The 17,810-nt window shown below is 38.3% G+C and overlaps 1 protein-coding gene across 7 annotated transcripts in view; it reads left to right on the top strand.

Moving 5' to 3' along the window:
* The window catches only part of BRWD1 (bromodomain and WD repeat domain containing 1), a 137,037-nt gene that overhangs the window by 32,591 nt on the left and 86,636 nt on the right, over positions 1-17,810 (top strand). For all 7 annotated transcript variants that reach the window (XM_017028373.2, XM_011529611.2, NM_018963.5 and 4 more), the window contains 5 exons: positions 8,374-8,474; positions 9,809-9,879; positions 11,271-11,371; positions 12,409-12,449; positions 14,150-14,248. In XM_017028373.2, coding sequence (XP_016883862.1) covers positions 8,374-8,474; positions 9,809-9,879; positions 11,271-11,371; positions 12,409-12,449; positions 14,150-14,248 — 413 coding nt within the window. The remainder of the gene's footprint in view (positions 1-8,373; positions 8,475-9,808; positions 9,880-11,270; positions 11,372-12,408; positions 12,450-14,149; positions 14,249-17,810) is intronic.

Genomic DNA, 17,810 nt, shown 5'->3' with positions numbered 1-17,810 from the left:
GTTTTTTGGGAGTCAGAAGTTACGTGTGGATTTTCAACTGCCTGGGGGGGTTTGGTACCCTAACCCCTGCGTTGTTCAAGGGTCAACTAACTGTACTTCTAAATAATCCATACATCAAAGAAGAAAAATCACAATAGACATTTAAGAATATTTCAAACTGATTAATAATGAAAACATTACATATTAAAACTTGGGGGAGGTACTCTTTGGGAGCCAGCCTTCAAGGCAGTGCCCAGTGATTCTTGCCTTCTGGCACTTAGGCCACTGTAGTCTCCTTGCTGAATAGGGTTGACCTGTGAACTTGAAGATATTGAGAAAATGGTATAATGTGACTTTCAGTGTTTCTGAAGTTACACTACAACATAATGAAATATCTTTTGTCTTATTCTCTTTAATCACTGGTCTTGGGGGAAGCCAGTTGTTAGGTAGATTGCACACTCAAACTGCCCTATGGAAAGGTCTTCATGGTAATAACTGATGTCTTCTGCTATAGCCATGTGAATAAGCCATTTTGGAAGCAGATCCCCCTATTCCCAGTTAAGCCTTTATGTGACTGTGGCTCAGGTCGACATCTTGACTGCATCTCTCAGCCTTGAGACACTGAGCCAGACCTATCTAGCTAAGCTGCTGTTGAATTCTTGGACCATAGAGACTATGAGATAATGAATATTTATTGTTGTCCAGTGCAGCTAAAAATTTTGGGGTAAGTTGTTTCATAGCAGTATATAATTCTCTTCTGAAGTTGTGCTGAAGGGGAAATTTACACCCAATTCATGTATTAGAAAGAAGCTGAAATTCAGTGATCACAAGTGTATTTCTCAAGAAGTTAGGAGAAGAACAAACAAGAAGAAAGAAATTATGAAGATAAGTACAGAAATTAAGGATAGAAAAAATGTGCATAACGGTAGTGAGGATCAACAAAGCCAGAAGTTCTTTGAAAGACTAAAAATACTGGTAAAAAACACATTGTTCAGGGAACAAAAAAGAAACGTGACAAATAACCATTATCAGATTTGAAAAAGGGGTATCACTACATATCCTTCAGATAATAAAAAGAGGATATTTTAAGCAGCTTTATAAAGGAAAATTGAAGGTTAATACAGAGAAAAACAAGACACAAAAAGAAAATCTGAATTGACTTGTAACTATGAAATGCATTGTATCTGTAGTTAAACATTTTCTCTACCTACTTATTATTTAGGTAAAAAATGTTTGGCGCTAATCTCCCAAGGAAGCAATCAGACAAATCCAAATTGAGAAACAGTCTGTGAAACAAATCTCTTATTCCTCAAAAGTTTGGTTTCAAGAAAGATAGAAAGGTGGAGAGCTTTTCAATAAGGAACCTCAGGAAAAGGGACAAACGTTAGTGTAATGTGTGAGCCTTGATTTGGGTTCTAGATTTAGGAGAGAAAAAAGCTGTAAAGGATGCTTGAGAAATTTGGAAAATTTGAATATGGATTATATAATAATGTTTTATCAATAGTAAGTTTTCGAAGTATTGATAATCATAGTTATGTAGGAGAATGTCATTGTTAGGAGATACACACTAAGGATTTTAGGGTTGAAGTGATGATGTCAGCAAGGTAGATTTGGATGGTTCATGTCAGTGTGATATCTACATCAGGAAGCAAGTGTTGCAAACTATTAACCATTGGTGAATCTTGATGACCAGTGTATGGGTGCTCATGGTACTATTACGACTTTTATCTAGATTAAAAATATTACAAAATTAAGTATTTGCAGAAAATGAACACTATACTATTACTACAACTGTTCATTTTTAGTATTGCTAGGCAAGAACAAAAATGGGCCGGGCGCAGTGGCTCACGTCTGCAATCCTAGCACTTTGGGAGGCCGAGGTGGGCGGATCACGAGGTCAGGAGTTTCAGACCAGCCTGACCAACATAATGAAACCCTGTCTGTATTAAAAATACAAAAAATTAGCCGGGCATGGTGGCGGGCACCTGTAATCCCAGCTACTTGGGAGGCTGAGGCAGGAGAATCGCTTGAAGCCGGGAGGTGGAGGTTGCAGTGAGCAGAGATTGCGCCACTGCACTTCCCACCAGGTGACAGTGTGAGACTCTGTCTCAAAAAAAAAAAAGTACAAATACTGGAAATAAAAAACTTTTATTTTCCAGAAGTTTGGTTGCCTACTTAAAATCCAAGAGAATTGAAAAATGCCTTGACAGGTTGCAGTTTATCTTGTGAAATAGTAGCTATTGACCTTAGGTAGTGGCGATGGCTGCACAGCATTGTGCATGTACTAAATGCCACTGAATTGTTGACTTTAAAATGGTTCATATGGGCCGGGCGCGGTGGCTTACGCCTGTAATCCCAGCACTTTGGGAGGCCGAGGCGGGCAGATCACGAGGTCAGCAGATGGAGACCATCCTGGCTAACATGGTGAAACCCCATCTCTACTAATAATATAAAAACAACATTAGCCGAGCATGGTGGCCAGCGCCTGTAGTCCCAGCTACTCGGGAGACCGAGGCAGGAGAATGGCGTGAACCTGGGAGACGGAGCTTGCAGTGAGCCGAGATCGCACCACTGCACTCTAGCCTGGGCGACAGAGCGAGACTCTTGACTCAAAAAAAAAAAAAAAGTTCATATGGTGAGTTTTATGTTATGTGAATTTTTATCTCCCCTAGGATGCATGAGTGAGCATACAGGAAGAGATTTCATTTTAACAGTTCAGGACAGCTAACTACCTTTGACGAATACATTCTTTTTTTTTTTTTTTTTTTTTTGTTGACTGGGCTCAAGTGATGCTCCCCCCTCACCCTCCTGAGTAGCTGGGAGTAGCTGGGACTACAGGTGTGTGTCACCACACCTGGCTAAGTTTTTTTGTGTGTGTTTTTTGAGTAGAGATGGGGTTTTGCCATGTTGCCTGAACTGGTCACACTCCTAGGCTCGAGCAGTCCTCCTGCCTTGGCCTCCCAAAGTGCTGGGATTATGTGTGTGAGCCACCACACCTAGCCTACATTCTTTTTAAATTTTTTGTTTTTAGTTGACCTATAATACTTGTAGAAAGACAAAGAATACAGTGTGATGTTTCAGTGCATATATGCATTGTATAAGGATCAAATGAGGGTAATTATATCCATCACTAAGCATTTATCATTTATTTGTTGTGGTAATATTCAAAATCTTCTCTTCTAGCTGTCTTGAAATGTCTATCACATTGTTATTTGCTGTACTCACCTTACTGTGTAATGGAACACCAGAACTTATTCTTCCTGTCTGATTGTAACTTAATACCCATTGAAACAACTTCTCATGGTCCCCCCCTTCCCCCATACTCCCCAGCCATAGGTAACCACTGTTCTATTCTCTGCTTCTGTGAAATCAACTTTTAAAATTCAAGGGTGAAATTACACAGTGTTTGCCTTTCTGTGCCTTGCTATTTCACTTAACATAATGGCCTTTAGGTTCATCCATATTACCACAAACGACGGAAGAATATTCTGTTTATAATGTTCCATTTTGTGTGTGTGTATACACGGACACACGGCATTTTCTTTGTTCATTCATCTGTAGATGGGTGTTTAGGTTGATTCATGTCTTGACTATTGTGAATGGCACTGCAGTAAACATGGGAGTGCAATTATCTCTTCAATATACTGATTTCATTTCCCTTTGGATATACACCCAAAAGCATAGGGAACAAAAGCAAAAACAGACAAATGGGATTACATCAAACTACAAAGCTTCTGCACAGCAAAGGAAACAAACAATATAGATCGAAGAGACAACCTGAAGAATAGGAGAAAGTACTTGTAAACTTTATGCATCTGACAAAGAGTTAATATCCAGAACATATAAGGAACTCAACTCAATAGAAAAAAAATTCAGTTAAAAAATGGGCAAAAGACCTGCGTAGACATTTCTAAAAAGAACACATACAAATGGCTGACAGATATATGAAAATATGCTTAACATCACTAATTATCAGGAAAATGCAAATCAAAACCACAGTGAGATACTACCTCACCCCAGTCAGAATGGCTGTTCTCAAAAAGACAAAGGATAACAAATGTTGGGAAGGATGTGGAGAAAGGGGAACTCTTATGCACTTTTGGTGAGAATGTAAATTAGTACAACTATTATGGGAAACAGTATGGAGGTTCTCCCGCCTCCCCCAGAGGCAGGTTCTCTCTCTGTTGCCCAGGCTGGAGTGCAGTGGTGTAATCATAGCTCGCTTGGCCTCAAACTTATGAGCTCAAGTCATCCTCCTGCCTCAGCCTTCTGAGTAGCTGGGACTATAGGTGTGTGCCACGTCATCTAGTTAGTTCTTAATTTTTTGTAGAGACAGTGTCTTGCTATGTTTCACAAGCTGGTCTTGAACTTCTGGCCTCAAGCAATCCTCCTCCATTGGCCTCCCAAAGCACTGGGCTTTATAAGCATGAGCCACCCTACCCAGCTGGAGGTTCTTCACAAAAAAAGATTGGCTATATATCCAAAGAAAATAAATAATACATTCTTTCATAGCAAAAGAGAGGATCAGCATATATTAAAGAGTGCTTATTTTACCACTGAACAAGTTGTAAAAGTAGACGTTCTTAAGCTCATGAGCCTGTGGTAAATACTAGGTAGTCACTCAAAATGTGTAGATTTCAAGCATACTTTGGACTTTGGAAGTAGACACATGAGATTGTAGCACGGAATCCTAAAATCCTAGGCCAAAGAAGACTTTTAGAAATCATAGTTCATACTGTTTCTTTTATGCAGGATTTAGCTAATCCATCTTAGAAAAAAAAAGCAAGACTATTTTTAATATCCAGAAATACATATTATAGTCATTGGCGACTGGCCTTGAGGGGGCATAACAAAACATGGTTGTATGTCAGTGATACTGCAATTGATGAAATGTTGCTATTTAGAAACAGTAAAAGGAAGCCCCCAGAAGTTAAAAATACCTGTTGGACACTAAAAAAACAAAAACAAATCGCAACTCTTAAAACTTCAAGCTTAGAGGCTTCATTAGTGAATTCTGTTAAAACTTGTTAGAACTGCTGAGAGCTTAATACGATGGTTAAATATATATAGGACCCATGTCTTAAAACCAGAACTTTATTGTACACCAGCAATAAAGAAGTAATAAATACAATGGAAGAAGAGTATAATTTGTAATAGCAACAAAACCCCTCAAACACATAGGAATGAATTTAACAGGAAATGTGAAATATGTTTATGAAGAAAGGTCTTAAAAATACTGACCGGAGTCTTGGGTTGGGGAAGGAAATAGTCTAAGTAAGTGAAAATACCTCTACCATGTTCCTGAATCAGAAGATTCAGTATTGTAAATATGTCAGATCTTTCCTGATTATGCTATAAAATCAGCGTATTTACATTTGAAATTCCAATGATTTTGTTTTTATGGAACTGTGCCAGCCAATCAAGCTCATTTAAAAGAGAATTATATAAGCACGGACAGCGAAAGAAGAGCAAAGAATTGTTTAGCCATGCTGGAGATATAAAAATGTTTTAGAGCTGTTATAAAGAAAACAGTATATATCAGTCCATGAATAGATGAAGATATAAGTGGGACAGAAATAGCTACAAATTGCTTATCTGTCTGGAAATTTGATTTAGAACAGGTGACTTAAACATATTCTTTCATGGACAGTTAGGTTTAGAATTCCTTTTTTTTTTTTTTTTTGTGACGGAGTTCCGCTCTTGTTGCCCAGGCTGGAGTACAGTGGTGCGATCTCAGCTCACTGAAATCTCTGCCTTCCAGGTTCAAGCGATTCTCCTGCCTCAGCCTCCCGAGTAGTTGGGATTACAGGCGCCCACCACCATGCATGGCTAATTTTTTGTATTTTTAGTAGAGACAGGGTTTCACCATGTTGATCAGGCTGGTCTTGAACTCCTGACCTCAGGTGATCCACCTGCCTTGGCCTTCCAAAGTGCTGGGATTACAGGCATGAGCAACTGTGCTTGGCCTCTAGAATTCTCAAAGTACTCTGCAAGGTTGCGAGTTTTACTCTGATGTTTTAATTAAAAAAAAATTTTTTTGTCCAATTAGCAATTCAGTGTGGAAGGTGTTTAAATTTTTTTTAAAGTGAAAGCAAGTTTATTAAGAAAGCAAAGGAATAAAAGAATCTTCAATTTTAATTAACAAAAATATCCAACTACTAATATAACTTTAATTATACTACTTTTTCTCATTACTTTTAATGAGATAGCCTGCAAAGCTCAATGTTAGGCCACATTCTGGAACATATCTACTTAGATATAAACAATCACTTTCAACATTAAAAAAAATCCATAATTTCTTCCTTACTTTGCTTTCTGTTAATGGCACTATTAGTCTTTCTTTTCTAAGCTCCTTCTTTGTCTTGAATGTTTCTTGAGTCAGCAAGTTTGTTTGCTTTTTGAGACAGAGTCTCACTCTGTTGCCCAGGCTGAAATGCAGTGGTGTGATCTTGGCTCTTTGCAACCTCAGCCTCCTGGGTAGCTGGGACTACAAGCATGCGCCACCATGCCTGGCTAATTTTTTATTTTATTTTATATATATGTTTATATACGTATGTGTATATGTCCATATATACGTATACGTGTATATATACATATGTACATACATATACTTATACATAGACGTATATGTTGACATATGTGTATATATACATATTTATATACATGTATTTATATGTATACATATATGTCTACATATATACACATGTATATGTATGTATACGTATATATATACATGTATACATACATACATATATATATATATTTTTTTTGGTAGGTGAAGGAGTCTTGCTGTGTTGTCCCGGCTGGAGTGCAGTGGCGCCATCTCAGCCTGCTGCAACCTTTGCCTCCCGGATTCAAGCGATTCTCCTGCCTCAGCCTCCTGAGTAGCTGGGATTATGGGCATCCGCCACCACTCCTGCCTACTTTTTATGTTACAGGCATCCAACATCATGCCCGGCTAATTTTTGTATTTTTAGTAGAGGTGGTGTTTCACCATGTTGGCCAGGCTGGCCTCAAACTTCTGACCTCAAGTGATCTGCCTGCCTTGGCCTCCCATAGTACTGGGATCACAGCCGTGTGTCATCACGCCTGGACAATTTTGTATTTTTTTGTAGAGACAGGGTTTCGCCATGTCACCTAGGCTGGTCTTGAACTCTTGGACTCAAGCAATTCTCACTCCTCGGCCCCACAAAGCGCTGGGATTACAGGCATGAGCCACAGCACTCGGGCGAGTCAGCAAGTTTTGATGCTCCTCTCTTTTGGTCTTTCCTCCCCATTCTAGGGGGAGAAGGGTGGAGCTGTATTCCAGTTAAGCTTCTTGCTTCTTAGATTAACTGGGTTCCCTCTTGGCTTTTTATTACATCTTGCCTCTTCTTTTTCAATCAATACTGTATATTGCTGTAAGACAAATCGTTTGGCTGCTTCTGGTGTTTTTACTTGAAAAGTACAGTTACCCTTTAAGCTGCTTTGATTACATCCAGATTCTCTATTCATTTACCCCATTGCCGCATGACTTTGAGAAATGAACACTTTGTTCATATAGATCTTTGTTTCTATCATATACCATATTCCCCCTCGCTTTTGAACTTGTGCTGATATTATTCCTTTGCTTAGTGTGTGTTTGTTTTCCTTGCATTTTCCTACTATTTAATCCTTCCTAGATGTCTCTAGCTAGTTCATCTTCCTTTCTGTAGCTTGCTTGTTTAGCACTTTTGGTATTTTATTAAGTACAGATGTTAGCCTTATTCTGAAGTTGCGCTGCAGTATAGTTCCTGTGTTTCCTTATTTTATGGCTTTGTTTTCAAAATATTTAAATCATTGACCCATTTCGAATGTATCCTGATGTAGTCTGAAGAATGGACTTAGTTTTTTTCCAGATTACTGCACAATTGTAATACCATTTATGCAGTGATCCATTGTTCGCCCAACAGATTTGAGATAATACCTTAATTGTACTTAAGTCTTAGATTAGGATTCATGTTTTCTCCCATTTTTCCTTCCAGTTTTTCAGTCAGCTTTCCCAGGTTGAATAGGGTCTAGTTTTGGATTGTATTTTTTCCATTGGTCATTCTATCAGTGTACCCTGTTTTGTCTGATCATTTTAATTATTAACACTCTGTGATATGCTTTAATATCTAGTAGGACTAGATCTCCACCTTGTTAAAGTTTTTCTGGCCAGTCTTGTTCATTCTGAAAATAGGCTTATTGAGATCATATTACATATAAATGAATGTGGAGAGGTTATGATTTTTTCACTACGGTAGTATTACCTATATTTTGGATTTCATGTGTTTATTTCCTGAAACTGTCAATTGAAGTTAAGTTTGCAAGACTATTAAACTGTAACTTAAGTAGAAGTTCTGGAAACTGAATTGTATATGTTTTACTTTTTAGTTTAGCCCGATGGCCAAAGGCTCTCAAAGATACATGGTTTCCACTGGTGCTGATGGGACAGTTTGCTTTTGGCAATGGGATTTAGAATCCTTAAAATTTAGGTAAGTGGCTTTAATTATGTAACAGGTTTTGTTTTTTAATGTAGTTACAGTTTAATCTAATGAAATGAAGTTTTATTGTTATGAGAAATTGTGTATTGTTGCTTTTTTTTAACCTTTGAACTTAATTTTTATTATATACAGCATATGTGCCATATTGACTATTTCCTATTTATAATTATGTAGATAGCAGGATTTGTAAAAGAAGCATAGCTTTTCTATCTTAGCACATTTTTGCAAAGACAAAGTAAGGCATTTAAAATAATAGGTATATAATTGGAAATTCAGGCAGGAACATTTGAGAGTCATAAGACCTGTATTGTATACCTGTGCTGTCTAATACAGTAGTCACTAGCCATATATGATCGTTGAGCACTTTAAATGTGGCTAGTGCAATTGAGGAACTGAATTGATAATTTAAATTTAAAACTTACAATTGATTAATGTATTAAAACATTTTTTTTCCTTTTGTTTTCGTTTTCTTTTTTTTTTTCTTTTTTTTTTTTTTTTTTGAGATGGAGTCTCACTCTGTTGCCCAGGCTGGAGTGTGATGGCGTGATCTCGGCTCACTGCAGCCTCTGCCTCCTGGGTTCAAGTGATTCTCCTGCCTCAGCCTCCTGAGTAGCTGGGATTACAGGTGCCCGCCACCACGTCCAGCTAATTTTTGTATTTTTAGTAGAGATGGAGTTTCACCAGGTTGGCCAGGCTAGTCTCAAACTCCTGATCTCAGGTGATCCACCCGCCTTGGCCTCCCAAAGTACTGGGATCACAGGCGTGAGCCACCACGCCTGGCCTGTTAGAAAATTAAGCATATCTTGAATAACGAGTATGTGAAATTTTCAATGAGTTTTGGGAAATCCAAATATAGATAAAATATTTTTGTTAAAAATTGAGTTGTCAAATTGAGATGTATTTTGAGTCTCAAATACACACTGGAAAATTTCAAAGACTTAATATGAAAGTATCTTATAATTTTATTGATTTGGATTACATGTTGATATTTTGGGTGTATTGGGTTAAAGGAAATATGATTAATTTGATCTTTTTATATTTTGTAAAAATACATGGAAATCTGTGGAAATATTTGATATACAATAAGGTATTATAGAAATAAGATTATAGCTGGGTGTTGTGTGCCTGTGGTCCCCAGCCACTAGGGAGGCTGAGGCTGGAGGGTCCCTTGAGCCCAAGAGTTTGTGTCTAGTGTGGGCAACATGGCGAGACCCTGTCTCTTAAAAAATTATAATATTTAAATATGCTAGATTAAAACTAATATTTTAAGCTGTGTTAATGTGGTAAAATAATCTATTTTAAAGCAGCATCTTCTTCTTTTAAAGCCCACGTCCCCTGAAGTTCACTGAAAAGCCTAGGCCAGGCGTTCAAATGCTTTGTTCTTCTTTTAGTGTTGGTAAGAACTTCTTCACATTTTTTTCTTAGTTTTTTTTTTTTAAACATCTATTAAATGACCACTTGGTTGCTAAGAACTTTTATTAGCTACATGGTAAATGACTTCTGGTGTTTATTTCATTAGGTTCAATTTATGATGTTTATTTTGTTAGCCTTGTTCTTCCAGTCCTCCAGTCTGCCTTTCTCTGATTTCTGGTAGTAATCAGTGATATAAGAGATGGCTGGTAAAAGGGAGGCTTGAGGTGTCCACACAAGTGATTCCTATGCCAGTACTATGTGTATGATAATCTAAATTTGTGATTTTCTTTGAATAGGCTAAACTGTGTATGTTTGATAGTTTAAATTTATTTCCCACACATAATATCTTGATGAAATTATTCTTTTTCAGTTTTTGTACAGTGAACTTGTGTGGTAACCTTTCTCTTTTTTCGGATAGGTCAAAGACTTTTCCCTCATAAAATCTGAAAACTTGAACAAGCTAGGGTTAGGTATGTAGAATTGTTTAGAAAGCAGAACTTCTTTTCTTAAAAATATTTTTAGAGCGCTGGTGCTTAATTGGCATTATATTGCCACCCTTAATAATACAGATGGGGAGGCCAGGCACAGTGACTCAATGCCTGTAATCCCAGTCCTTTGGGAGGCCGAGATGGGAGGATTGCTTCAGCCCAGGAATTCGAGCCCAGCCCTGGCAACATAGGGAGAACCCATCTCTAAAAAAAAACAAAACAAAAATTATCTGGGCATGGTGCACACCTGTAGTCCCAGCTACTCAGGAGACTAGGTGGGAGTATTGCTTGTGTCCAGGAGGTTGAGGCTGCAGTGAGCCATGGTCACACCACTGCACTCCAGCCTGGGCGACAGACTGAGACCATGTTCCCCGCCCCACCAGCTGGCTCACGCCTGTAATCCCAACACTTTAGGAGGCTGAGGCGGGTGGATCACCTGAGGTCAGGAGTTCGAGACCATCCTGACCAACATGGTGAGACCCCCATCTCTACTAAAAATACAAAAAATTAGCTGGGCATGCTGGTGTGCTCCTGTAATCCCAGCTACTCAGCAGGCTGAGGCAGTAGAATTACTTGAACCTGGGAGGTAGAAGTTGCAGTGAGCCGAGATCACACCATTGGGCTCCAGACTGGGCGACAGAGTGAGATTCTGTCTCAAAAAAAACAGGAGGAGATTGTGAATGTTTCCAGATTGAATTAATTTTGTTTTTTAAAGCTACAAGTTCAGCTTTATAACCTCTATATAGTGAGTCAGAAAATGTAACTGTTGAGATAAACTTAGTTTTAGGGTAAATGATCTTTCTTTTTTATATTTTAATATGGAAATTTGATTTGTTCAGGTATTTGTTATAAACTGGATGTTTAAACCTTACCATTTTTATTTCAGGTGGTATGTTTTTAGCCACAGGTAGTACTGATCATGTAATCAGAATGTATTTTTTGGGTTTTGAAGCACCCGAAAAAATCGCAGAACTTGAAAGCCACACTGTAAGCATCCACGTTTTAAAATCCTTTAGATTAATTGTTAATACTATTCCTGTTATTGCTAAGGGGCATTGTTATTGGCTCTACTTTTATTTTTAATTTTTTTTCTGTTGAACAAATGAACTGTCATTTATAACTTTTTGATGGTATTAAGTTTTAAAATATTAAATCATAGTTGCATTTCTGAGATAAGTCATTGCTTGTGAATGTTATCTTAAATTTTTGCTGAATTCTATTTGACAGTTAAAATATTGTTAGAGATGTTTGTATATTTATAAAAATGAAAATGTCTAGGTACAATATAGTTTTTGTTAATTCTATTCTAATTTTAATTTAAGCATACAAGCAATTATATTTAAAGGGGAGGTATGTCACTGGCAACTCAGATTAGCACTTGAGAGGCCTAATATTTTACAGTGGTTATTTTAGCTTTATGTTCAAAATCTTGATTATGACAGTTGATCTGGGTGGGTTAACTTTAAGTGAGCCTGTTTATCTAACCAAGCCCATGAAATAAGAATGTGATTTTAATAATGCATAGTAAGATAGAAAACTGTCAGTGTTCTGAAGTACTGGTCAGGGTTGGGCCATCTTTTCTTTTATTTGAAGCTTTTGGGAAGGCAGTCCACATCCAGAGGTTATTTGATAGATACAGATTTAAATAACTTAAAACAACAATTGAAAATGCCTTATTTTTAGCTACTTTAAAGCCTATATTTTGAGCACTTTCCACACATTTCACTTCCATATAAGTCATCTTAAACAGATGTAATTATAAATACTGCTTTAAGTTTAGAAGCAAGGCTTTTTTTCCTGTTAGATGTGCCTTTCTTTGAAATGAAAGCTGTATTTTAGTAGTCTTAGGTTTGTAGTTAGTCTTCACTTAAAATTATAAAACATGTTGAATGACAGGGCTAAGCAACACAAGTGCAAATTTTGCTTGTTAAAGCAAATAGGCTTCTAGCATTAAAACTTCATTTTTTCAAATTCACAGACCATGTAGATGATCATTTTTGTATTTGTCCTTTTCCCCCCTTTAGGATAAAGTAGATAGTATCCAATTTTGTAACAATGGTGATCGGTAAGTGTGTGTTTTGTATGTGTGTGTGTGTGTTATTAGGCAAATATAATGTGCTACATGTTAGTATAGCTAACCTGTCATTTTGTATGTATTTTTTCCCTTTATATTATTATGATTATTTATTTATTTATTTATTTTTTGAGATGGAGTTTCGCTCTCGTTGCCCAGGCTGGAGTGCAGTGGCACAATCTCGGCTCACTGCAACCTCCACCTCTTGGGTTCAAGTTAATCTTCTACCTCAGCCTCCTGAGTAGCTGGGATTACAGGCGCCTGCCACTGTGCCCGGCTAACTTTGTATTTTTAGTAGAGACGGGGTTCCTCCATGTTGGTCAGTCTGGTCTCGAACTCCCGACTTCAGGTGATCTGCCTGCCTCGCCCTCCTAAAGTGCTGGGATTACAGGCGTGAGCCACCTTGCTCAGCCATTATTTTTTATTTTTAGTTGACTAATAATTGTCTATGTTTATGGAGTAAGTACACTGTGGTGTTTTAATATATATTTACATTGTGGGATGATTAAATCAAGCCAATAAACATCTCTGCCACTTCACATACTGAGCATTTTTCTGTAGTCAGAACATCTGAAATCTACTCAGAAATTTTGAAATAATATATAATTAACTGTCACTTTGTATATTGCAGGTATTTATTAGTAAATGTATTAATTGAATGAAAAGTGTCTAGGGCAGGGGTTGGGGGAAGAACACATGAAATGTAAGTTTTTAGAATTGTAGTTTCTGCCAGCTTCTAGCGACCAAAAGTAGTTTTTCTTTGGCTAGATGTCTGATTTACTGAAAAAATTATGTGTAAGGATCATTAAATTTCTTGTTTGGGTAGTTAAAAAAAACTTTTCTAAGAAACCACCGTGATATATCCTGCAAAGAAATTATTACTTAAATCATATACTCCTTCTTTGCCTCCATTGTGTGTCAGGTCCCTTTGCTAAACTAATTGTTGAGAACTTAATTTGTTAATAGATTGATTTATTTTTACACAGTGTCCAACATGAATTAATTTGAATTAACAAGTAAGATGTTTAAAATGGAGCTATTGCTCTTATTTTCCTATACTTCAAAACTTTTTTCTGTTTTTTTTTTCTTCTTGGCATTCTTATTTAATTATTTTTTTTTGAGACGGAGTCTAGCTCTGTTGCCTAGGCTGGAGTGCAGTGGTGCAGCCTCGGCTCACTGCACTGCAACCTCCCCCTCCTGGGTTCAAGCGATTCTCCTGTCTTAGCCTCCTGAGTAGCTGCGATTACAGGCATGTGCCACCACGCCTGGCTAATTTTTGTATTTTTAGTAGAGACGGGGTTTCACCATGTTGGTCAGACTGATCTCGAACTCCTGACCTTGTGATCCACCCACCTTGGCCTCCCAAAGTGCTGGGATTACAGACATGAGCCACTGCAGGTTGCCTCTTCTCAGCATTCTTATACATTGTATTTTCAAAACTTAATCTGTTTGAAAAGCTATTGATTGAGTTTGAGGTGTGTTTTATTTCATAGGGCCGGGCAAATCATAGCAAACCAAATTTTTTTTCCCATCCAGATACGCTCTAAATACCTTGTCTTTTGAATTAACACCTGTGGATTGTCCTGTTGTTAGGACAGCTTCATTACATTCTTTTTTTGCATGTGATTTTAATTGTAGCCCTTGTTGGAAAGTGTGTGAATATAGTAAGATCCTGTTCTGAATGTTTTAAGGTTCCTAAGTGGTAGCAGAGATGGAACAGCACGGATTTGGAGATTTGAGCAGTTAGAATGGAGGAGCATTTTATTGGATATGGCTACCAGAATCTCAGGGTAAGTTGAGATTGTTAGAAGTAGGTGCATCATAGGTGTTCGATCTGTCTCTCTCTCTCTCTCTCTCTCGCTCTCTGTGTCTCTCAGTGGTTATTTTGTTGAGGGGATTATAGCTACCTTCTATTACGAAGAGCTGTGGTATAAGTGAATAGCTGCGTACTGCATATCAGGTGAACAGAGACATCCAGGTAAATTTATCCTTACGTTGTATAGCAAAGAATAACATGTACTTTTTCTATGGTTCAAAGCATTGACCTCCTTCTTAGATGTTGCATTTAAAAGCTTCTACAAGTAAAAAAGATAAAATTAACTCAAGTACGTTAAGAGTGGAAATTATACTTTTCTGTGGATAGGATTTTTGAAAAAATTTAAAAGTAGCTTAGAGCCAAGGCTGGGAAATAGGGTAAGCAAACATACTTTATTATTAAGGTTAAAAAAGAAAATTGAGCTCCAGCCTGGGTGACAGAGCGAGACTCTCTAAAAATAAAAGTCATAGATTTTACTTTAGAGTTTGTTTCCTGATTTTAACTTTGCACTTTTTCATATCAGTTTTTCTGAGAAACGTTTCCACATTTTGTCTTCTGGAAATCATGTCTGCTTTATTTTTATTTAAAAAAAATGGTTTAGGGTCTCACTCCATCGCCCAGGCTGGAGCGCCAGTGGTATGATCGTGACTCACTTCAGCCTTGACATTCCGGCCTCAGGCAGTCCCCCCATCTCAGCCTGTCCCCCCATCTCAGCCTTCCAAGTAGCTGGGACTATGAGCATGAGCCACCATGCCTGGCTAATTTTTATGTTTATTTTTTGTAAAGACTTTTGTTCAGGCTCATCTTGAACTCTTGGGCTCAAGTGATCCTCTTGCCTCTGCCTCCCAAATGCTTTGTTTTTAACAACAGAAATTGACTTATATTCTCTGCTGTAGCTCAAAGAATTGTATTGCATTTTCAAAATAAATTTGATCTTGTTTTTTTGTGGAATTATCTGTGATAGAGAATGAAAAGTATATATACTGGAAATTTGATAACCCTTGCTCATAAACAAATTAAAAAATCTTTATTATATATAAAAATGTTACATCTCAGTATGAAAGTGAATACTGTCAATCCTTGATTAGTTGAAATAAAGGGAATGGGGGTGAAGATAATTTAAAGTCAGTTTCACCTATTATTGTTTTATTAAGGAAAATAGAAACTGTCAAAACTTGAATGAAAATTTTTAAATGAGACTGAAAACTGTTTAGTTTTCTTGCTGACGCACTCGATCCATGAAGGGGACTTTTCCTATAATTTTCTTCATGAGAAAATATCTTCTCATTTTAAGTTTTCTTGCTTTCAAATCTTGAAAAACAGAGTCTTCTGTATGTAAGAATTGATTGATCTGTTTATTTTAGTGTTCTAATATTGGCGAATCAACTTGATGAAATGGAACATATCTGTTAGTAAATTCAAAGTTATTAATTTGTGGCTGGGCATAGTGGCTCATGCCTGTATTCCCAGCACTTTGGGAGGCCAAGGCAGGTGGATCACCTGAGGTCAGGATATCGAGACTAGCCTGGCCAACATGGTGAAACCCTGCCTCTACTAAAAAAAAATAGAAAAATTAGCCGGATATGGTGGCATGCGCCTGTAATCCCAGCTACTCGGGAGGCTAAAGCAGGAGAATCAGTTGAACCCAGGAGATAGAGGTTTCAGTGAGCCTAGATGGAGCCACTACACCCCAGCCTGGGCGACAGAGCTAGACTCCACCTCAAAAAAAAAAAAAAAAAGCAATGTTATTACTTCAAAAGCCTTTTAGTTTAAAGTGAAGAATGGAGTCTTTGCCTTTATTCCATTTTACTTTTTTTTTTGGAGACAGAGTCTTGCTCTGTCGCCCAGGCTGGAGTGCAGTGGTGCGATCTCTGCTCACTGCAAGCCCTGCCTCCTGGGTTCATGCCGTTCTCCTGCCTCAGCCTCACGAGTAGCTGAGACTACAGGCGCCCGCCACATGCCCGGCTAATTTTTTTTGTATTTTTAGTAGAGACGGGGTTTCACCATGTTAGCCAGGATGGTCTTTTTTTTTTTTTTTATTTATTTAAGTTTTAGGGTACATGTGCACAATGTGCAGGTTAGTTACATATGTATACATGTGCAACCAGGATGGTCTTGATCTCCTGACCTCGTGATCCACCCGCGTCGCCCTCCCAAAGATCTGGGATTACAGGCGTGAGCCACCGCGCCCGGCCTCCATTTTACTTCTTAATATTATTCTACCCTCAACACCAATCAATCTAGTTAGAATTATTCTCTCTTCTGTGTGTTTTTTTTTTGTAATTACATAGATAGCTGTTTTATAACACTCATTCTATATTCTTTTTTTTTTTTTTTTTGAAATGGAGTGGCACGGTCTCAGCTCATTGCAACCTTCGCCTCCTGGGTTCAAGTGATTCTCCTTCCTCAGCCTCCCAAGTAGCTGGGATTACAGGAGCCTGTCACTACGCCCAGCTAATTTTTGTATTTTTTATAGAGGCATGATTTCATCCTGTTGGCCAGGTTGGTCTGGAACTCCTGACCTCAAGTGATCCGCCCACCTTGGCCTCTCAAAAGTGCTGGGATTATAGGTGTGAGCTACCATGCCCAGCCTTTGTTAATTAAAACATGTTAGATGCTTGTAATATCTTTTTTTTTTTTTTTTTTTTTTTGAGACGGAGTCTTGCTCTGTTGCCCAGGCTGGAGTGCAGTGGTGCGATCTTGGCTCACTGTAAGTTCCGCCTCCTGGGTTCATGCTATCCTCCCACCTCAGCCTCCCGAGTAGTAGGGACTACAGGTGCCCACCACCACGCCTGGCTAATTTTGCTTTTTTTTGTATTTTTAGTAGAGACGAGGTTTCACCGTGTTAGCCAGGATGGTCTCAATCTCCTGACCTCGTTATCCGCCTGCCTCGGCCTCTCAAAATGCTGGGATTACAGGCATGAGCCACCGTGCCCGGCCGATGCTTGTAATTTCTTAAAACGTATTCTATTATTTCAGAACCATTAGGCCTTCCCTACCCCACTGTTGACTACTGTAATGCAGAGACCCTTTGCATATCACTTTTTTATTTTTTGAGAACGTAGTCTTGCTCTGTCACCCAGGCTGGAGTGCAATGGTGCGGTCTTGGTTCACTGCAGACTCTGTCTCCCAGGTTCCAATGATTCTCCTGCCTCAGCCTTCTGAGTAGCTGGGAATACAGGTGTGTGCCACCACACCTGGCTAATGTTGTATTTTTAGTAGAGACGGGGTTTCACCATGTTGGCCAGGCTAGTCTCAAACCGCTGACCTCGTGATCTGCCTGCCTCGGTCTCCCAAGATGCTGGGATTACAGGCGTGAGCCACCGTGTCTGGCCCTCCATAACACTTTTATAAAGGATGAAAAACATTCTAGGCATGTGTATCCAAGACCGTTCTTGCCAAGGGGCCTGTAGGAGTAGACTGTAGGAAAGTTGTATGAAGAGATGAGAATAGTCCCATTTACAGTTCAGATTGAACATCTGTGTGTCAGTTATTTTTCTAAACATTGGGGATATGAATATGAATTACCTTATTTT

Source organism: Homo sapiens, chromosome 21 (assembly GCF_000001405.40).
Source record: "Homo sapiens chromosome 21, GRCh38.p14 Primary Assembly".
NCBI classification, from domain to species: Eukaryota; Metazoa; Chordata; class Mammalia; order Primates; family Hominidae; genus Homo; species Homo sapiens.
This window is presented reverse-complemented; position numbering and strand designations above follow the sequence as displayed.